The 20,414-nt window shown below is 45.7% G+C and overlaps 2 protein-coding genes across 31 annotated transcripts in view; one reads left to right on the top strand and one right to left on the bottom strand.

Annotated features, from left to right (window-relative positions):
• The window catches only part of LRRC37A2 (leucine rich repeat containing 37 member A2), a 676,337-nt gene that overhangs the window by 478,583 nt on the left and 177,340 nt on the right, over nt 1-20,414 (bottom strand). For 9 of the 15 annotated variants that reach the window (XM_047436145.1, XM_047436143.1, XM_047436144.1 and 6 more), the window contains 5 exons: nt 20,027-20,131; nt 17,097-17,146; nt 15,340-15,394; nt 15,122-15,261; nt 14,900-15,015 (listed from right to left, as the gene is read on the bottom strand). In XM_047436145.1, the coding sequence (XP_047292101.1) occupies nt 14,967-15,015; nt 15,122-15,261; nt 15,340-15,394; nt 17,097-17,146; nt 20,027-20,131 (399 nt within the window). In that variant the 3' untranslated portion in view covers nt 14,900-14,966. Of the gene's footprint in view, nt 1-14,897; nt 15,016-15,121; nt 15,262-15,339; nt 15,395-17,096; nt 17,147-17,203; nt 20,132-20,414 lie in introns of those variants that run through there. The other 6 variants (NM_001385803.1, XM_011524842.4, XM_047436141.1 and 3 more) reach the window with 6 other exon arrangements.
• The window catches only part of ARL17A (ARF like GTPase 17A), a 79,433-nt gene that overhangs the window by 9,177 nt on the left and 49,842 nt on the right, over nt 1-20,414 (top strand). For 8 of the 16 annotated variants that reach the window (XR_934479.3, XR_934475.4, XR_934478.4 and 5 more), the window contains exon 4: nt 12,916-13,181. The exons of 6 other annotated variants lie outside the window; for them this stretch is intronic. Coding sequence is in view for 6 of the 10 variants with exons in the window: in XM_011524876.4 (XP_011523178.1) it covers nt 12,916-13,181 (266 nt within the window). In the remaining 4 variants the exon portion in view is untranslated. Of the gene's footprint in view, nt 1-12,915; nt 17,791-20,414 lie in introns of those variants that run through there. 2 more of the 16 variants (XM_047436214.1, NM_001113738.2) reach the window with 2 other exon arrangements.

Genomic DNA, 20,414 nt, shown 5'->3' with positions numbered 1-20,414 from the left:
CCCTGCAACCTCCGCCTCCCAGGTTCAAGTGGTTCTTCTGCCTCAGCCTCCCAAGTAGCTGGGGTTACAGGCATGCACCACCACGCCTGGCCAATTTTTGTATTTTTAGTAGAGATGGGGTTTCACCATGTTGGTCAGGCTGGTCTCGAACTTCTGATCTCAGGTGATTCGCTCACCTTGGCCTCCCAAAGTGCTGGGCTTATAGGCGTGAGCCACTGTGCCCAGCCCCCCTGTCTACTTTAAATCACTACTAGATTACTTCTTATGTCTACTAGCATGTAAATGCTATATAGTTAGACTGTATTATTTGTATTTTTTTTTTTTACTGTTGCGTTATTATTTTTATTTATTTACTTATTTATTTATTTTTTGAGACGGAGTTTCACTCTTGTTGCCTAGGCTGGAGTGCAATGGCGCGATCTCGGCTAACCACAACCTCCGCCTCCCGGGTTCAAGTGGTTCTCCTGCCTCAGCCTCCTGAGTAGCTGGGATTACAGGCATGCACCACCACGCCCGGCTAATTTTGTATTTTTAGTAGAGACGGGGTTTCTCCATGTTGGTCAGGCTGGTCTCGAACTCCCGACCTCAGGTGATCCACCCGCCTCGGCCTCCCAAAGTTCTGGGATTATAGGCGTGAGCCACCGTGTCCGGCTTGCGTTATTACTTTTTAATATTTTTGGTTCAAGGTGGGTTGAATCTGTGGATACAGAGGGCTGACTATAGTTTTTACACCCCGATTTTCATGTAAAATATTAACCATATGGAATCTACAAATTTCTCATTTTAGAATTTATTTGGAGTCTGTTTGTTTTGGAGATTCTCCTGCATGTACTTGATAGTAAAGACTTACATATTCGTCAGTCTTTCCAGATGAAATACCCAAGTCGACTGTCCCTTTATATTTTATATCATTGTTTTAGCTGTTACCTTTGGCAATTAACTCTATTTGCAGTTATCTTTTCCAGGCTATAGATTTTAGAATGTTTTTTCTCAAAGTAGTGCATTTATTTTTTTAACTTTTTTAGTGGAAAATCTAAAACAAATACAAAGACAGAGAGGATAACATAACGAACCCCCATGTACCCATCACCAAGCCTCAACAGTTATAAGCATTTTGCCCATCCCAGACATGATGCCTTTTATTCACATGTCCTTTAGTGTTCATTTCCAACTGATAAGGCATATATATATATATAAAATCTTCATGCTATTATAACATCTCCAAAATTAATAATAATTCTTTAATATCTAGCACCTAGTCCTTATTCTAATTTCTCCAGTTGTATCAAATGTATCCTGGCTGAGTGTGGTGGCTTACACCTGTAATCCCAGCACTTTGGGAAGCCAAGGCTGGTGGATCACCTGAGGTCAGGAGTTGGAGACCAGCCTGGCCAACATGGTGAAACCCTGTCTCTACTAAAAATATGCAAAAAAAATTAGCCAGGCTTGGTGGTGCATGCCTGTAATCCCAGCTACTCGGGAGGCTGAGACAGGAGATTCTCTTGAACCCAGGAGGCGGAGGTTGCAGTGAGCCGAGATTGCGCCATTGCACCCCAGCCTGGGCGACAGGGCGAGACTCCATCTCAAAAAAAAAAAAAAAAAAGAGAAAAAAAAAGTATCCTTTCTACATCTTTTCTACATCTGCTTTGTTTGCATCTGGATCAGAGTTCGCACAGTGCATTTTGTTGTTTTGCCTCTTTAGTCTTTTATTCTACAGCAGTTGTTCTTTCTCTATGCCTTTTTTTTTCCTTTTTTTTTTTGGAGACAGGGTCTCGTGCAGTGGCACAATCTTGGCTCACTGTAACCTCTGCCTCCTGGAGTCAAGCGATTGTCTGACTTCAGCCTCCCAGGTAGCTGGGACCACAGGTGCATACCATCACACCTAGCAAATTTTTTTGTACTTTTTATAGAGATGGATTTTCACCATGTTGCCCAATCTGGTCTCAAACTCCTGGGCTCAAGCATCTGCCCACCTTGGCCTCCCAAAGTGCTGAGACCATAGTGTGAGCCACCTCGCCTGGCCTCCCCCCCTCTTTTTTTTTTTTTTTTTAACTGCTTATTCCACATTCTGGATTTGGTTGATTACTTTATTATAGTGCCATCTAACTTGCTTGGCTATCTGTGGATTTCCTGTGAACTGGTTGTTTATTCTAGAGACTTGATTAGATTTTGGTTCATTTCAGGGGCAAGAATACTTCATAAGTATTCTTCCTATCCTAACACAGAAGTTCGGTTGTCACACTTAGACATTTTTAAAAAAATTTTTATTGTGGCAAAGTATATATAATATAAAATTTACAAGTTTATTCTTAAGTGTACAATTCAGTGGCATTAAGTACATTCACCGTGTTTTACAACCATCACCACTGTCCAGTTCCACAATTTTTTCATCATCCCCAACAGAAACTTTGTATCCATTAGCAATAACTGCCCATTCTCTTCTCCCCCACCCCTCATTAGCCTTTATTCTATCCTCTGTCTATGAATTTGCCTATTCAGTGGAATTGTATATTAGTCTTTGGAAGTTTAGCTGCCTGGCCTCTTTCACTTAGTACAATGTTTTCAAGGTTCATCTATGCTGTAGTATGTATCAGAACTTAATTCCTTTTATGGCTGAATGATATTCTATTTTATGGATATACCACATTTTGTTTATCCATTCATCTATCGATGGACTCTTGAGTTGCTTCTGCTTTTTGTCTATTATGAATAGTGTTGCTATGAAGATTCATGTCCAAGTATCTGTTTGAGTCCCTGCTTTGAGTTCTTTGGGTATATGCCTAGAAGTGGAATTGCTGGGTAACTATGTTTTCTTTTCTTTTTTTTTTTTTTTTTGAGACGGAGTCTCCCTCTATTGGCCAGGCTGGAGTGCAGTGGTGCAGTCTCGGCTCACTGCAACCCCAGCCTCCTGGGTTCAAGTGATTCTCCTGCCTTAGCCTCCCGAGTAGCTGGGACTATAGGCGTGAGCCACCACGTCCGGCTAGTTTTTTTGTATTTTTAGTAGAGACAGGGTTTCACCATATTGACCAGGCCAGTCTCGAACTCCTGACCTTGTGGTCCACCCGCCTCGGCCTCCCAAGGTGCTGGGATTACAGGCATGAGCCACTGCACCCGGCCTCATTTTTTTTTATTGTGGTAAAATACACATAACTTAAAATTTAGCATCTTAACAATTTGTTTTGTTTTGTTTTGTGGTAGTGATGTTTTTGTGAGATGAGGTCTCTATATGTTACTCAGACTGGTCTCGAACTCATGGGCTCAAGTGGTTCTCCTACCTCAGCCTCCTGCATAACTGGGACTACAGGTGTGCAACACTGCACCCAGCTCTATCTTAAACATTTTTAAGTGTATAGTCAGTCATAATATTCTGCAACCATCACCACCATTCATTTCTGTAACTATTTTCATCTTGTAAAACCAAAACTTTGTGCCCATAAACTATAACTTCTGTTCTTCCCCCACCCTCTCCCCTTCCTCCCTGGCAGCCACCAGGTTGTCACATTTTTAATGATGCCAAATGGTTTCAGATGGTATCAGCCTAATTCCCCTGAATTAAAATTCTCCATCAACTTTTCACCTAATCGTTTTAGCATCCATTGAAAACTGTTGCCTAGACCCATTATTTTATTAGAAGTCACAAAATGGTGATTTCTCCCCCCTCCTAAATCTTGTTATTCCTCTGCATTTATTAGCTAAAATCCTTCTAAACAAAGAATTCCCTCATCAAATATTTGGTTTCCCTGAAATATAGTTTGTAGAAGAGAGGCTGGAAAAATGCTTTATTCTTTTCCTTCATGGATTTTCAGAAAAACCACTGGATGCCCCGCAACTTCCATGGTGACTCTTAGATGTTTGTATCTTCGTGTTTTGATCTGCAGATTATGTATTTTTTTGATACTCAGAGTGTCCATTTATCTTGGACTGGCACTTGACAAATTGGCAAACTCTTGCAGTTTCTTAACTGTAATAAAACTAGAACACATGGGTTTGAACCACAGCTCTGTGGTGAAACCTTGAGAGAGTTAGGTAATCTCGTCTGTCTCAATTTCCTCATCTTAAAATGGAGATAATACTTACTGCCTGCATCACTGGGCTTAAATTACTTATGTAAAATGCTTCATTTCGTGGCTGGATGACAGTAGGCACTCAAAAGCCCAAATTGTTTGAGGTTTCACTTCATCATTTCTCTGGCAGAATTCTTTTTTCTTACCCTACTGGGAGTTTCCACATTCAAATACCAAGATGAAATAAATACCTTTATTTCTTCAATCTTCTCTTCATAACAAGCCTAATTTTACTGAGTTTTGGTAGCTATTGTTTTTGATGGTAGGGAGCTGGCTGTACTCTAGGACCTTGGGGTGGGAAATTTGGACTTTTCATAAAATAGCAGTTGGGAGCTGCTGGAAGAATGGACGTGCCGTGAGTGGTCTTGGATGCAGCCCCTATTTTTTCTGCCAGTTTCTAAAGATCAGGCTGTCTTTTAGTTCAAATTTTTTTCATCAGTATGTTGAGTATGACAGAACTTAATGCTTTTAGCTCTCTATTAAGACATTTAACTGTGTAGGTTTCACTTGTATAGATTGGAATTTGAACAGTTTCTGATTTCTTTTTTATTTTTTTGAGACGGAGTCTCGCTTTGTCGCCAGGCTGGAGTGCAGTGGCACAATCTCGGCTCGCTGCAACCTCCACCTCCCAGGTTCAAGCGATTCTCCTGCTTCAGCCGCCCAAGTAGCTGGGACTACAGGTGCGCGCCATGCCCAGCTAATTTTTGTATTTTTAGTAGAGATGGGGTTTTACCATGTTGGCCAGGATGGTCTTGGATCTCTTGACCTTGTGATCCGCCCGCCTTGGCCTCCCAAAGTGCTGGGATTATAGGCGTGTATCACCGCGTTTTTTGTTGTTGTTGTTGTTTTTTGAGGCGGAGTCTTGCTGTCACCCAGGCTGGAGTGAAGTGGTGTGATCTCGGCTCACTGCAACCTCCACCTCCTGGGTCAAGCAATTCTCCTGCCTCAGCCTCCCGAGTAGCTGGGATTACAGGTGCCCGTCACCATGCCTGGCTAATTTGTTTATATTTTCAGTAGAGATGGGGTTTCACCACGTTTGCCAGGCTAGTCTTAAACTCCTGACCTCAAGTGATTTGCCCGCCTCGGCCTCCCAAAGTGCTGGGATTACAGACGTGAGCCACTGTGCCCGGCCGTGATTTCTTAATTGATATTTTTATAGACGGCGTAAGATGGTCCATTAGTTATTAGGGATAAATATTTTTCTCCTTGATTGTAGGTTCAGTTATTTTAATTTGTTGAATTGCAGCGTATCTGTCTGGTTCAAAATTCGAAAGTAAGAAAAGGTGTATACTCATCCTTTGGTATCTGTGGGGGATTAGTTCCAGGACCTCCCATAGATACCAAAATCCTTGGATATTCAAGGCTTTGATATAAAATGGTGTAGTATTGGCATAAAACCTATGCATGGTGCCATCTTGGCTCACTGCAACCTCCGCCTCCTGGGTTCAAGCAATGCTCCTGCCTCAGCCTCCCTAATAGCTGGGATTACAGGCACCTGCCACCATGCCCAGCTAATTTGATATTTTTAGTAGACGCGGGGTTTCACCATGTTGTCAAGGCTGATCTCAAACTCCTGACCTCACGTGATCCACCCGCCTCGGCCTCCCAAAGTGCTGGGATTACAGGCGTGAGCCACCGCGCCCAGCTGTCTCATAGTTTTAGACACTGTCTGTTGCCTTCCTGGTAAACCTGGCAAGGACTTAGCTCTTTTACACCCTAGCCCTGTCCATTCTTGAGGTTTGGGTTTGCCACAATTTGTAGAAAATGAACAGTGTTTACAGAATTGTGACTATATAAATATTATTCACCACAGAGCTTAATAATGTGCTGTGAGGTCAGGCATGGTGGCTCACGCCTGTAATCCCAGCACTTCGGGAGGCCAAGGTGGGCGGATCACCTGAGGTCGGGAGTTCAAGACCAACCTGGCCAACATGGAGAAACCCCATCTCTACTAAAAATACAAAAATTAGCCGGGTGTGGTGGTGCCCCCCTGTAGTCTCAGCTACTTGGGAGGCTGAGGCAGAGAATCACTTGAACCTGGGAGGTGGAGGTTGCAGTGAGCCGAGATCATGCCACTGCACTCCAGCCTGGGCAACAGAGTGAGACTCTATCTCAAAATATAATAAAATAAAAATAAAATACACTCTGATGATGGCTGCTTCCCCCAAGGGTGCCTCAAGCTCTCTCCTTTTCTTTCAGTGCCATCTGCCATTATCGTGCCCTCGTTCTCTTCCAGTGCTCTGGCGGAGCAGGTGGCGCCCAGGCCCACAGTGCCCTCTCCAAGTTCTGTCCTCCATGTGCTCAAGTTATCCCCTAAACTTGTCACATGGGTCATCCTGGAACTTTGCTTAACTGCTTCCTGGGTTGGGGCCTTTATTTCCTGGCTCCCTTCTCTTCTTGCTTAATTTCCCCTCCCTTTGCTGCAGCACATACCCAGTTAATCCCTTTCTAACATTAAAAAAAGAAAAAGAGAATAGTTCTTGGACCTCCTCATGATAGAAATTATATCTTTAGGCCGGGTGTGGTGGCTCACTTGTGTAATCCCAGCAGTTTGGGAGGCCGAGGCAGGTGGATCACTTGAGCTCAGGAGTTCAAAACCAGCCTGAGCAACATGGTAAAACCCTATCTCTACAAAAAGTACAAAAATTAGCCAGGTGTGGTTGCATGTACCTGCAATCCCAGCTACTCAGGAAGCTGAGGGAGGAGAATCTCTTGAACCCAGGAGGTGGAGGTTGCAATGAGCTCTGATCATGCCACTGCACTCCAGCCTGGGTGACAGAGTGAGACCCTGTCTCAAAAAAAACAAAATAAAGTTGTATCTTTAATATCCATTAACTGAAAAATAAAAATAAAAATAAGGACCAAAAATTACTATGTGGACACACATGCTTTTAAATGAATTTGTGTGTTATTAACCACAGTAACATCTATGAACTTGTGAAAAACTGTTACTGGTTTAGGCTTAAGGGTTTGCCCAGTCTAGCTTCAATGTTCAATGGGTGGGCATGGTGGCTCACACTTTGGGAGGTGGCCAAGGCAGGCAGATCGCTTAGTCCAGGAGTTGGAGACCAGCCTGAGCCACATAGTGAAACCCTATCTCTACAAAAAATTTAAAAATTAGCTGTGTGCGGTCACGCGCACCTGTAGTCCCAGATATTGGAGGGCAGTGGGGGGTGGCGCTGAGGTGGGAGGATCACTCGAGGCCAGAAGGTCAAGGCTGCAGTGAGCCGAGGCTGAGTCACTGCCTGGGTGGCACAGCAAAACTCTGTCAAAAAAACAAACCAAAACAAAACAAAACAGACAAACAAGAACCAAAGTTGGATGCAGTGGCTCATATCTGTAATCCCAACAACTCGGAAGGCTCAGGCAGGAGGATTGCTTGAGGCCAGGAGTTCAAGGCCAGCCTGGGCAACATACTGAGACCCTCGCCTCTGAAAAAATTAAATATTAATAAAAACAAACCCTAGTAGCTTCAGTCTTTGATTCTCCATCCCTCATTTCATCCCTTTGTCTTCTGGTAATAGAATTTCCTTCTTGTTTTTCTTTTGGGATGAGCCACCTTCGCTCCCTGGGATTCTGCTGGGATTGAGTTACCGCCTTCCGGGCTCAAGCGATCCTCCCACCTCAGCCTCCCAAGTCGCTAAGACCATAGGTGCATGCCACCATGCCTGGCTAATGTTTTGTATTTTCTGTAGAGCCGGCGTTTTGCCCTGTTGCCCAGGAGTTTTTCCTTTAATGTTCTCCTGCTACTTACTAATTCACTTTGTCACCCTGTGAGCTCATAAGAGCAGAGAGATAGCAACAGGAGCTAAAAAAACTCTAAGCTGTGAAAAAATATTAAATATGAAATCATGATAGCTATTAGCTTAATTTGTTTTAGGCAAATTGCAAAGTAATTTTTTGGGAATCAGTGTCCCACTGCAGTGATTCCATATGGGGATTCCTAATTCCCAGTATGTTTTTAAAATAATTTGTAAACACCTAGTACAAACGCATGATATGAAATTCAAGAGGTACAAAAGGGCATACAGCCCTGCACTCTCCCAGTTTCCCTCCCGGAAGGCAACCGCCATTACCAGTTTCTCGTGTGTGCTTCCAGAGGTATTCTTGTCCAACAGAACTTCAGTGATGAAAACAGTTGCCTGTGCTGCCAGTTTGGAAGCCATTAGCCACACGGGGCAGTTGAGCACTTGATATGTGGCTAGTGTGTCTTAGCAGCTGACTTTAAAATTTTTTTTTTTTTTGTTAAAGACTCAGCGTCTTGCTCTGTTTACCAGACTGGACTGCAGTGATGTGTGAACATGGCCTCAAACTCCTATTTATTTATTTTTTGAGACAGGGCCTCACTCTGTTGTCCAGGCTGGAGTGCAGTGGTGCAGTCATAGGTCACTGCAACCTTGACCTCCTGGGCTCAAGAAATCCTCCCACCTCAGCCTCCTAAGTTGCTGGGACTACAGATGAATGCCACCATGTTTGGCTGATTTTTACAATTTTAAATTTTTTGCCTGGGCGCAGTGGCTCATGCCTGTAATCTCAGCACTTTGGGAGGCTGAGGCGGGCAGATCACCTGAGGTCAGGAGTTCAAGACCAGCCTGGCCAACATGGCAAAACCTTGTCTCTACCAAAAATACAAAAATTTGCTGGGTATGGTGGTGCGTGCCTGTAGTCCCAGCTACTTGGAGGCTGAGGCACGATAATCGCTTGAACCCAGGAGGCAGATGTTGTAATAAGCTGAGACTGCGCCACTGCACTCCAGCCTGGGTGACAGAGTGAGACCCGTCTCAAAAAAAATAAAAATAAATAAATAAATAAATTTTTTGTAGAAAAGGGGCTTCACTATGTTGCCCAGGGTGTTCTTGAACTATTGGCCTCAAGCTATCCTCCCACTTGGCCTCCCAAAGTGCTAGGATTACAGGCATGAGCCACTGTGGCCAACCTAAATTTATATGTAAATAGCCATATGTGGCTAGTGGCTACTGTATCAGACCTCACAGTTCTGTACAGATAACGCACAGCGCACAGTAGCATACTATACACGCCCTACTAAATCTTGCTTTGTTCCCTTAACAGCACCTATGCATCTTGGAGATAGATTGTCCCAGTCTGCCTCATTTTTAAAAACTGCTGTATAATATCCTCTTGTAATCCACAAAGGGAATCCCAGACCCAGCCTGGGGGGCCATGGGTCATCACTTTTTACAACAAGCTCTAAAATCTTCCACATGTACCATAATCAAGGCACTTCAGAACAACCCTAGGTTCCTCATGCCTCTACTTTTATTAGCCTGGGCCTGACATAGTTGGACATTGAATAGTCACTTCTGGGGGCTGGTGGAAATAATTTACCATGAGTGACTGCCCTAAAGTATACTCTCCACCCACGTGGCCCGTGCCTGGCATTCACTAGTGCTGGTGGCATTCTTTAAGGTTGCTCATATCTCTAAGTGGTTCTCCTTTAAAGAGCAAAGTCTCCTGGGAAAGGTGGTCATTAAGCAGAACATCTGGGGCTCATCTTGCTTTTGCCCTGTTGAGAGGGGCCAAGGGACTTGGTAGAGCAGCAGGGGCTCTGACGGTGAACCTCATTGTTTTTAAAATTATTCATAAGAGGCCAGGTGCATTGGCTCACACCTGTAGTCCCAGGACTTTGAGGAGCAGAGGCAGGAGGATCATTTGAGTCCAGGAGTTCAAGATTAGACTGAGCAACACGGGGAGACCTCATCTCTACAAAAAATTTAAAAGAAAATTAATTGGGCATCATGGCACGAGCCTGTGGTTCCCGCTACTCGGGAGGCTGAGGTGGGAGGATCACCTGAGCCCAGGAGGTTGAGACTTGCAGTGAGCTGAGTTCACACCACTGCACTCGAGCCTTGATGACAGAATGAGACTGTCTCAAAAAAAAAAAAAAAAAAAAATTGTCCTTAAGTCCATGTGGACCCCTGACTAGGTTTGTGCCCTAGACAGCCTTCCTCTGAGGGCAGTTCAGGTGGTGAGACTCCAGCTTTAAATGGCCTCTAGAGAAATTTCACTAACCTGCCTTGGTGTTTGACCCTGTATAACCCCTTTCTTCTGGAGGTCCCTTTGGGTGGCAGTAGATACGGGATTTGGTGTCTGACAGCTCTGGGGACAGATCCCAGCTCCAAATGGCAGAGTCTCTACAGATTACAAGCCAAATACTTAGCACTATGTGCTGATCTTCAGGAAGTCAGTCTATATTTCATAACAAGTCACATGGGGATAATGAAGGAATGGCCTAAAATGCTCTCAGTAATATTCCTGAGTCATCCCTCAGGGCTAGGCTTGGTGTTAGGCATGGCGGGGAAGGGAGCAGAGCTGTGTGCAGAGGAAGATGCAGTTCTTGCCTTGTCAGGGTCCCTGACCTGATGGCGACCCATGGTGGAGTCTTCATAGTGACAGACACCACTGTAAAAGCAGATCCAGGTTGTGCAACCCTCAAAGCAGGTCTCCTCACTCACCGGGATAGATAGACTATTGGCCGTACCTGCATCCACCGCTTGCCATGGTTTCGTTGTGGGTGGAGGATACTTTCCTGTCCCCTGGCTTTGGGTTTGCCCACGTGGCTTGCTCTGGCCTTGGAATGAAGCAGAAACGAAAGGCTGCCAGTTCCGAGCCCACGTCTGAAGTCGCCTTAGGTGGTTCCGCGGGCCCCGTGCGCTCCCACCTTCACCCAGAGGGCCTTCTCTGGTGCAGCCGCTGCTTCTTCAGCCTCCGCCCAAAAGGAACGGAGCCCCCTGGCCGATCCGCAGGCCTACAGGGAGCCACAGAGCGCAGCGGCTGGACCAGCGTTCAAGCCCAAGCACAGGCCTGCGAGAACCTTGTTCCAGCCGCCGTTTAGGATGGTTGATTAGGACGCGTTGCAGTGGCGGTAGCTCACCAATCCAGTGCGTGCACCCGCTCCTTTATTAGGCTATAGAGCCAGTGGCTCCCACAGGGACCTGATACAACAGTGCGTTAAATAAGGAGCATATTGAGCTCTCATGTCGTAAGCCAGTGGAGAAGTCCAGGGCTAGTGTGGGGGCTCCGGCGGGGGCTGTGGCCCCCATCCGCATGGAGCCTCCCCATGGTTCACAGGTCTCAGTCTTCGGAGCCTTCGGCCCTGCGAGCCCGAACGGTCCACAGGGCGGCGCCAGACCCTCTTTCGAACGCCATCCTCTAAAGCCTCGGCTCCAACCGGTTCCACTTCTTCAGGCTCAGGATTTTCACTCTTCTCGAATGGGGGTGGCCCTCCCCCAATCTTCTGAGTCGCAACAGCATCTCCCTCCCTCCAGGACCTCAGAGCCAGAGCTGGGCGAGAGGCCCTGACCTCCGGGGTAGGGTGGAAGCGTCCCTGTGAAGGTGCAGTCCTGCCTCCCATCCCCAGGCGCCGGGCCTCTCCCACCCTCAGCGCCCTGCTCACCTCCAGCTGAAGATGCCAGGGCACCTCTGCTTCCTCCCTGCCCTCTCTGCAGTACCGCCGAGTGTGCATAAAAGGGTTTAATATAGGCTTTGCCGGGCGCGGGGACTCCCACCTGTAATCCCAGTACGTTGAGAGACCAAGGCGGGAGGATCACTTGAGGCCAGGAGTTCAAAACCAGCCTGGGCAACAAAGTGAGGCCCGTCTCTGAAAAAAAAAAAAAAAAAAAAAAAAGAATAAAAGAGGTCCCTTTTTCTGGGAGATTGATATAGGGGAGTGTGAGTTAGAAGGGAGGCATCGAGGATCAGTCATTTAAAGCAGCATCCAAGGGTGTTCAAGGCTAGAGATCCACAGGTGTATTTTCAGAAACTGAATTTCCTGGCGGGGCACAGTGACTCATGCCTGTAATCCCAGCACTTTGGGAGGCCAAGGTGAGCGGATCACTTGAGGTCAGGAGTTCAAGACTAGCCTGGCCAACATGGTGAAACTGTTTTTAGAAAAAAAAAAAAAAAAAAAATTGGCCGGGCATGGTGGTGGGTGCCTGTAATCCCAGCTATTCGGGAGGCTGAGGCAGGAGAATCACTTGAACCTGGAAGGCAGAGGTTGCAGTCAACCGAGATCACGCTGCTGCACTCCAGCCTGGGTGACAGAGACTGTCTCCAAAAACAAACAAACAAACAAAACACAAAAAAAACCCCAAAACCCAAAACAAGCCAGGCGCGGTAGCTCGCACCTGTAATCTCAGCCCTTTGGGAGGCCAGGGCGGGTGGATTACCTGAGGTCAGGAGTTCGAGACCAGCCTGACCAACATGGTGAAACCCCATCTCTACTAAAAATACAAAAATTAGCCGGGCATGGTGGTGCATGCCTGTAACCCCAGCTACTAGGGAGGCTGAGGCAGGAGACTTGCTTGAACCCAGGAGGCGGAGGATGCAGTGAGCTGAGATCGTGCCATTGCATTCCAGACTGAGCAACAAGAGCAAAACTCCACCTTAAAAGAAAAAAAAACAAACAAAACTCCTGAATTTCCCTGTGGATATCTTTTCTCTGGCAGCCTTTTTCAATGAGGGCTAAGTTTTCTCCAATACTATATGGCCTGCAGACCGCTCAGCTTTCATTCCAGTGAAAACATTCCAGAAAAAACTCTGAATCAATCCCAGGTGTTTCTCCAATCAGCTCAGGATGATTGTGTGTTACCTGCTGCCCAGCCAGTGACACCTCTCCAGGCCTCTGACTTAGCTAGGTCTCCACCATGTGACTCCACCATAGACTCCCCACCTTCTTCTTTTGCAAAGCCTCAGACACCCAAACACCTACCAAAAGTGGGTAGGGCACCAGGACACTCCAAGTGTAAGTGGGGCTCTCCAGCACACCTGGATGTGGAGGTGTGATGCAGAGTGGTGGCTGCTCGTGACACTCATTTCACCCCTTTCTGTGCAGGTGCCAGAAGCCCAGGAAGCACACATCAAGGCTCACTTGCCAGCGGGGTGCTGCCAATAAAATGTAGTCACGTGGAATTTGGAATGTGGAAAGGAGGTAGAAGTCATCCTTTCCTCCCCCATAGCAGCAGGTGTGCAGGCTCTGGTGGTCAGCTGGACTCCATACTCCCCCACCAGTCACCAGCCTGGGGACCGTGGGGCTGCAAGGACCTCAGCAGCGGTTTCCCAAGTTTCCTGACTTCTTCCATCCTCTGGAAATCAGCTGTGGTAAAGTAGCCTGAAAGCCAGTGGTGCAACCCCATCCCCACAACCTTCACCACCTCTAGCACCTCCAGTGATAAGCACTAATTGCCTATATACAACCCTTTTTTGTTTGAAATATCTAGAGTAATTTCTGTTTTCCTATCTGGGGTAGTGTAACATAAGAAGAAATATATATTTGGTCTCTGCCCCCAGTTCCTAACACAAAGCTCCTAAAACCCTTGGAAATTCCTGAATGATGGCGGTGCTAAGAGCATTGTCCTTTGTTAATTTATCATTTTTCTTTTCTCCTAGGTGTTTTTTCCTTTTTAAACTTTTCTTTTAGGTTAGGGGGTACATATGCACGTTCGTTATATAGCTAAACTTGTGTCATGGGGGTTTGTTGTACAGATTATTTCATCACCCAGGTACCAAGCCTAGTACCCAATAGTTTTTTCTGCTCCTCTCCCTCCTCCCACCCTCCACCCTCAGGTAGGGCCCAGTGTCTGTTGTTTATGAGTTCTCATCATTTTGCTCCCACTTAAAAGAACATACAGTATTTGGTTTTCTGTTCCTGTCTTAGTTTGCTGAGGATAATGGCCTCTAGCTCCATCTGTGTTCCTGCAAAAGACATGATCTCGCTGTTTTTTATGGTTGCACATCTTTTGTTCTAACATTTGGTCCTTAAACCTGGTTCCTGACACAGAGCTCCTAAATCCCTTGGAATTTTCTGGGTGATAGAAGCGTCCTTTGTTCTCATGAGGTGACTCTTGGTGGGCTCCTTATTTGGGGACTGGTCACCAAAAAGACCTATGGTTGGAAGCGTTGTGCTGTCAGCCCCATTCCCCATCCTCTGGCGTGGGGAGTAGAGCTGGAGCTCAATCATGCCTACGTGATAAAGCCTCCAGAAAACTCCTTAAAAGACAGGACTTGGAGAGCTTCCGGGTTGGCGAACACATCCATGTTCCAGGAGAGTGGTGCACCCCAACTCCACAAGGACCCTTCCAAACCTCACCCTGTGTATCTCTTCAACTGGCTTCATCATTTGTGTCCTTTAAAATATCCTTTGTAATAAATCAGCACTAGTAAGAAAACTGTTTTCCTGGGTTCCATGAGCTGTTCTAGCAAATGTTCAAACCTGAGGAGGGAGTTGTGGGGACCTCCAATTTACAGCCAGTTGGTCAGATGCATAGGTGATGCTTGGCCTTGCACCTGGGGTCTGACATGCGGATGGTCCTGTGTGACTGAGCCCTTAACCTGTGGAGTCTGGTGCTCACTCTGCTTAGGGCTTCTCTTGCCTTTTTAGTGTCCTTCTAGGCGGCCTTTCCTTCCTCTTGTCAGCTCAGAAAACTTTTCTTCCACTTCCCTTCTTCTAAACCATCCCTTACATCTACTCCTTTCCAGCCGACCAAGAGCAGAACCACGGCTGGTTCCACTGCCACCATGCTGTCCCACACTGTCTCCTCAGGATGTATTCAGATGTCCAGCCCTCCCCCCAGTCTAGGAGCCCCCCCTTTGAGGAAAGGGATGCTGGCCTAGTCAACTCTTTCCCAGCACCAGGTACAGCATCTGGCACGTTCCATCTTTTTCATGGACTCTCCCCAGGCGGCCTGACCTTCCCTCCTCTGAACCGGTGCATTTCTTGTCTGCATCATGTTTGCCCTAATCAGATATCACCTTATTTCCTCTTTTAAAAAATGCTTTGTTTCTCTGGCAGGCTTCATCGGAATCACAATTTTCATTCATTTAGTAACTGTTGTTGTTTATTCTATGTATTTTTGCAGGAGGCCTGAGGTGGGCTGTGTTCTCCTCCTATGGCAGGGCTTCACTCTCCTCCTCCTCCGTTGGGGCTTCGCTGTCCCTGGGATAAGAATAACAATGCCAAGGTTTTCATTCTTGAAAGGAGCAATTAAGCTTCTCACCCCCTCCTCATTTTAGATGGGAACTGTGAGGGCCCCATCATTTACCCAGGGTCCCTGTTGAGGATCTTGTCCTCATTAGATGACTTCTTGTGCAGCTTCCATGCATGATTATTTATTCTTGTGGCACTGAGAGGTTTGTACATATCTTTAAACCAGAGCGGCTGTCCAAATGAGGAAAGTCCATCCTAGAAGATAGAAAGGGAAATATTAATTTTGCATGTCCTCTGCTTTCCCTGGCCACAGCAATGAATCCTCCAATGTACCTGACTCTCCCTTCGCGAAGAGCATCCCCTCCATGGCAGAAATCTGAAAATGCCCCTGGGGAGACACATGCACAAGACAGTGAGTGATGCAGCCGTTTCCCACGTATCTCACAATGTACTTCTCTGGTCTTATTAGGACTAAATGAGTATCTCAGTCCATAATCACAGGGAGAACCACCACCACAGACCACATACCCGGGGTCTTGAAAATAATTCCATGCATGTGGGACTTTCAGAAGCTCTCCATGTCTGCCCAGAAGGGCCCCACAATATACTGGGGGGACTTTGTATGTGGCTCAGCATGGAGCAGGGGCAGGATTTTCAGTCCCACTCACTCCCTTGGCCAAGTGCCCTTGTGCAGTGAACAAACTGCACAACCATGCTGGGCAGAAGCATTTTATATCAGTCCCCTTCGGACTTAGTCTCACAGGCATCATTTGATGGGGGATGGGAGATGAAGTGGTTCTTCGTTTTCTAGATACTTTATTCTATAAGTTGGATCACCTCAAGCAAATGCGTGAGTGCAGCTAGCCAAGTTCTCTATCTCACAGTCTTCATATGGCTGGCTGTCGCTGATGAGTGAGTGAGCTACGAAATCAGCTTAAAGCACAACATGTTATTTTTGAATTTGAATAAAATAGGAAAAGGCAGAGTGCATTGTGTGACCATGGGGTAAGTAAGACACTCTCCCTTTCTCCTTCTCAGTTTTCCTGTCATAAAAGGACAAACTACTATCTAAGGTCTCCGTAGTTAAAATTCTTTTTTGTTGTTTTTTTTTTATTTGAGACAGTTTGGCTCATTCCCCAGGCTGGAGTGCAATGGTGCTATCTTGGCTCCCTGCAACCTGCGCCTCCTGGGCTCAAGCAGTTCTCCTGCCTCAGCCTCCCAAGTAGCTGGGATTACACGCCTGCGCCACCACACCCAGCTAATTTAGTATTTTTAGTAGAGATGGGGTTTCACCATGTTGGTCAGGCTGGTCACGAGCTCCTAACCTCAAGTGATCCCAAAGTGCTGTGATTACAGGCGTGAGCCATCCTGCCTGGCCTTTCTGGTTAAAATTCTGTGAGGTTTGCATAAAAGGAATAGAGTAGGGGCCCAAAAACCAGTAAGATGAGAAAATAGTGTTTCCTCAGTTCTAGGATCCAGGGGAAAAAAAAAAGAAATAAAAGAGAAAATACTGTTTCCTGCCACTTAAGAGGAAGGACTCACATATCCTACCTTCCATCAGCCTTGAAGGAGACAAGTGCCCTCTCTCTCACACCCGGTGGCCTTCCCTTCCCCTTTCCCAGAGCCTCCAAGAAGGCCCCTGGCCTGGCCTGATGCCCACCATCAGCAGCAATAGGCACCAAAACCTTTCTCCTTCCTATCCCTCCCCACCTCCCGAAAGGGCTGGGGACAGCAGGTGTGTCCTTGTTAGTTCCATCCAGCTCAGCTTTGGCTGGGGAGCTAATTTCACTGGAGCCAGGCTAAGCATTAGGGTAAGTATTTGTCCTGTCTTGGGCAGTTTCCTCACTGAAAAATGAGGGCAGAGTTCTAAGCCCTCCTCTAATTCTAAAATTCTAATTAAAACGTCGCGAGACTAGTGGTGCATGCCTGTAATCCCAGCTACTCGGGAGGCTGAGGCAGGAGAATCGCTTGAACCTGGGAAGTGGAGGTTGCCGTGAGCCGAGATCGTGTCATTGCACTCCAGCCTGGCAACAAGAGGGAAACTCCGTCTCAAAAGAGAAGAAAAAAAAAATCACCAGACTAATATTTACCTTGAGAATCCTTCTTCATCTTCTTGTAATGACCTTCGGTGACAACATATCTGTTTTAGAAGAAAACGCAATTAAGATTATCTATGACAACAACCACCGTCTCCAAATCTGTATTGATTCCTTTTATTCATTATAAGTCTCATCTACCTGATGAGGTAACTTTTTTGAAGACAGGAATTGTATGCTGTGTAACACTGCTTTGATTCTTCCATAGTTCAGTCATCCTTGCTATCTTGCGGGGGATTGGTTCTAGGATACCGCCCCCACACCATACCAGAATCTGTGGATGCTCAATCCCTTACATATAATGGTGTAATATTTGCTTATAACCAACACGCATCCCCCCTATACTTTATTTACTTAGCGACAGGATTGCCCTCTGTTGCTTACGCTGGAGTGCAGTGTCATCCTCTGTTACTCAGGATGGAGTGCGGTGTCACGATCACAGCTCACTGTAGCCTCAACCTCCTGGGCTCCAGTGATCCGCCCACCTCAGCCTCTTGAGTAGCTGAGACTACAGGTGCATACTACCACACCTGGCTATTTTTTTTTTTAATTTTTAATAAAGACAAGGTCTCACTATGCTGCCCAGGTTGGCCTCCCAATGTGTTGGGATTACAAGTGTGAGCCACCATGCCTGGCCCCATGTAATTTAAGTCATCACTAATAAAATGTATACATATTGTACATTGTTGACAGTTGTTATATTGTACTTTCTGTTTGTATTTTTATTGGTTTTTTTTTTCTTCAAATATTCAGCCTGATCTAGTTGAATCTGAAGATGTGGACCTGCTGATGAAGAGGGCTGACTGTATCTAACTTAGGGTCTTGCATGCAGCTGGCACTTAATACATTTTATTGACTGTTTTAGATAACATTCAACAGATAATTCCTAATAAAAACTCTTAAAAGTAGGAGAAAAAGGAAACCTGAGTCCTTCCTCTGAAGTGGCAGGAAAACCAGCCTGGGCAACATAGCAAGACCTTGTCTCTACGAACACATTTTTTAAATTAGCTGCCTGCCTGTAGTCCCAGCCACTCAGGAAGCTGAGGCAGGAGGATCCCTTAAGCCCAGGAGTTTGATGTTACAGTGAGCTAGGTCACACCATTGCTCTCCAGCCTGGGTGACAACAAGGCCCTGAGAAGGGAAAAAAAAGGAAAGGAAAGGAAAGGAAAAAGGAAAAGGGAAAGGAAGGAAAGAGTAGAAGTATTGGAAAGGAAGAGACAAAACTATCATTATTTGCATATTAAATGATAAATGTTAGCCAAAGAAGCCTAAGAGAATCAACTAAGATTTTACTGGAAGTAATGAGAATTCAATACAGTGGCTATCTACAAAATCAAGAAATCAGCACACAAACCTCAAATACTTTTCCCATGTACCACCAATAACTAATTAGAAAATGGAAGAAAGATCCCATTTACAATGGCAATACAAATGTATGAAGAATTTAGGAACAAAAATACAAAGATCTTTTATCTAACAAAAGATGTATAAGATCTATATATGGAAACACTAAAGCTCTTCTGAAAGACATTAACAAGAAATGAATACATGACATGAGATAGCACGTTCCTAGAATGTCGTACAGATGTAAATTCTCAAATTAATCTACAAATTTAACGTAATCCTATTCAAATCCCAAGATAGTTTTTGGTGGTGGCTGTTTTTAAGACAGGGCCTAGCTGTGTTGCCCAGGCTAGAGTGCAGTGGTACGACCACAGCTCACTGCATCCTCGACCTCCCAGGCTCAAGCGATCCTCCCACTTCAGCCTCTGAAGTCTCTCATATGGTGTCCAAGAAATGGTGACAAATCTCACAAAGGGACTAGGCTCAGCAGGGCTGGAATATTCAGGGAAGGTGTCAAGAAGAAAGATGAACTTGAGTTGGCTTTTGAGAGATGCATAGGACTCCCACAGGCAGAGTGAAATAAGGGCATTTTAGATGGACAAACACACAGACAAAAGCAGAAATGTGGGTGGTGTGACTGGGGTTTGGTGAGGGGCTGCTGTGGCTGGAATGGAGGGCTGCCACAATAATGGAAATGGTAAATGAGGCAAGTAAGGTTGGACTGGTGGCATAGCGTCAAGGTTGCCAGCTTTATTAAATCACTCTTCCAATATGCTAGCACTGGCCTGTTGGGAAAAGTAATACATCATGTAATCGAACAAAAGACAGAGGCAAGCTCCAGGAATGGGCACTGTAAACAGGACTTGTCCCAGAGTAGCCAGATGTAGGCTTTAGGTAAGTTGATGCAAGCTGAGCATCTCTAATCTGAGGGGGAATGTCTCACATGGTGTCCAAGAAATGGTGACACATCTCACAGAGGGTCTAGGCTCAGGAGGGCTAGAGTATGAGACGTTCCCCCTCACCAGTGAACTTAAAAATGTGGCCAAAAATTTTTGTAAAAGATGGCTACTCTGTAGTGCTTTAACTGGACCTATTTAGACAATGCCTTACACACTGGAGGACGATACTGTGTAAATCTAATAAGTCTACAAGACAATACGTATGTCTTTTGGCTCTCTCCTTCCTCTCCAGGGTGATGACAACTCCGTGAGGGTGGAGATTATACCTCTCTCATCATTTCAGCAACAAGGAAATAAATTAGTGGCAGAGTAAGGGTGACTTGATGAGTACATCCAATTGTTGACATAGTTTTGGGTGGGAGAAATTTTCGACTTCTTAAAATAGTCTAGTGGGATTCACATGGTTTCAATTCACAGAGATCTGAAAGCGAGGATCCTTTAAAAATCCTGAAATATACACTGCAGTAAAAGAACAAAGCATACACCTCAGCCTTAAATGACTGAAGAAGTATGTCAAGTAGCAGCAGGTGGGAAAGTGGCTTTGGTTTTCAGTTTGTGAGCTCTGAATCCACACAAAGACAGGACTGCATTCTGAAAACCTGAATTAATTATTGTCCTTACCACAATGAGGCAGAAAAGTATAATCAAAATCGTTAGTATTCCAGTAACAATTAATGCCAAGATGAGTTTGTCAGTATAGCCATATCCTGGAACTTCTTTTTTGAGCTAAAAAAAAAAACACACAAAAAAAAAACCAGAATGAGAGCTAACTATTCAAAACCCCAGTATTCCAGGTGAGTAGCTGACAGGTTCTTTTTTATTTTTTTGAAAGAGGGTCTCACTCTGTCACCCAGGCTTGGGTACCGTGGTGCAATCACCGTTCACTAGACTCGACCTCCCTGGGCTCAGGTGATCCTCCCACCTCAGCCTTCCAAGTAGCTGGGACTACAGGCACGTGTCATCAACCCAGCTAATTTTCTTATTTTTTGTGGAGACAGGCTTTCACTAT

This window comes from Homo sapiens, chromosome 17 (assembly GCF_000001405.40).
Source record: "Homo sapiens chromosome 17, GRCh38.p14 Primary Assembly".
In the NCBI taxonomy this organism is placed as follows: Eukaryota; Metazoa; Chordata; class Mammalia; order Primates; family Hominidae; genus Homo; species Homo sapiens.
This window is presented reverse-complemented; position numbering and strand designations above follow the sequence as displayed.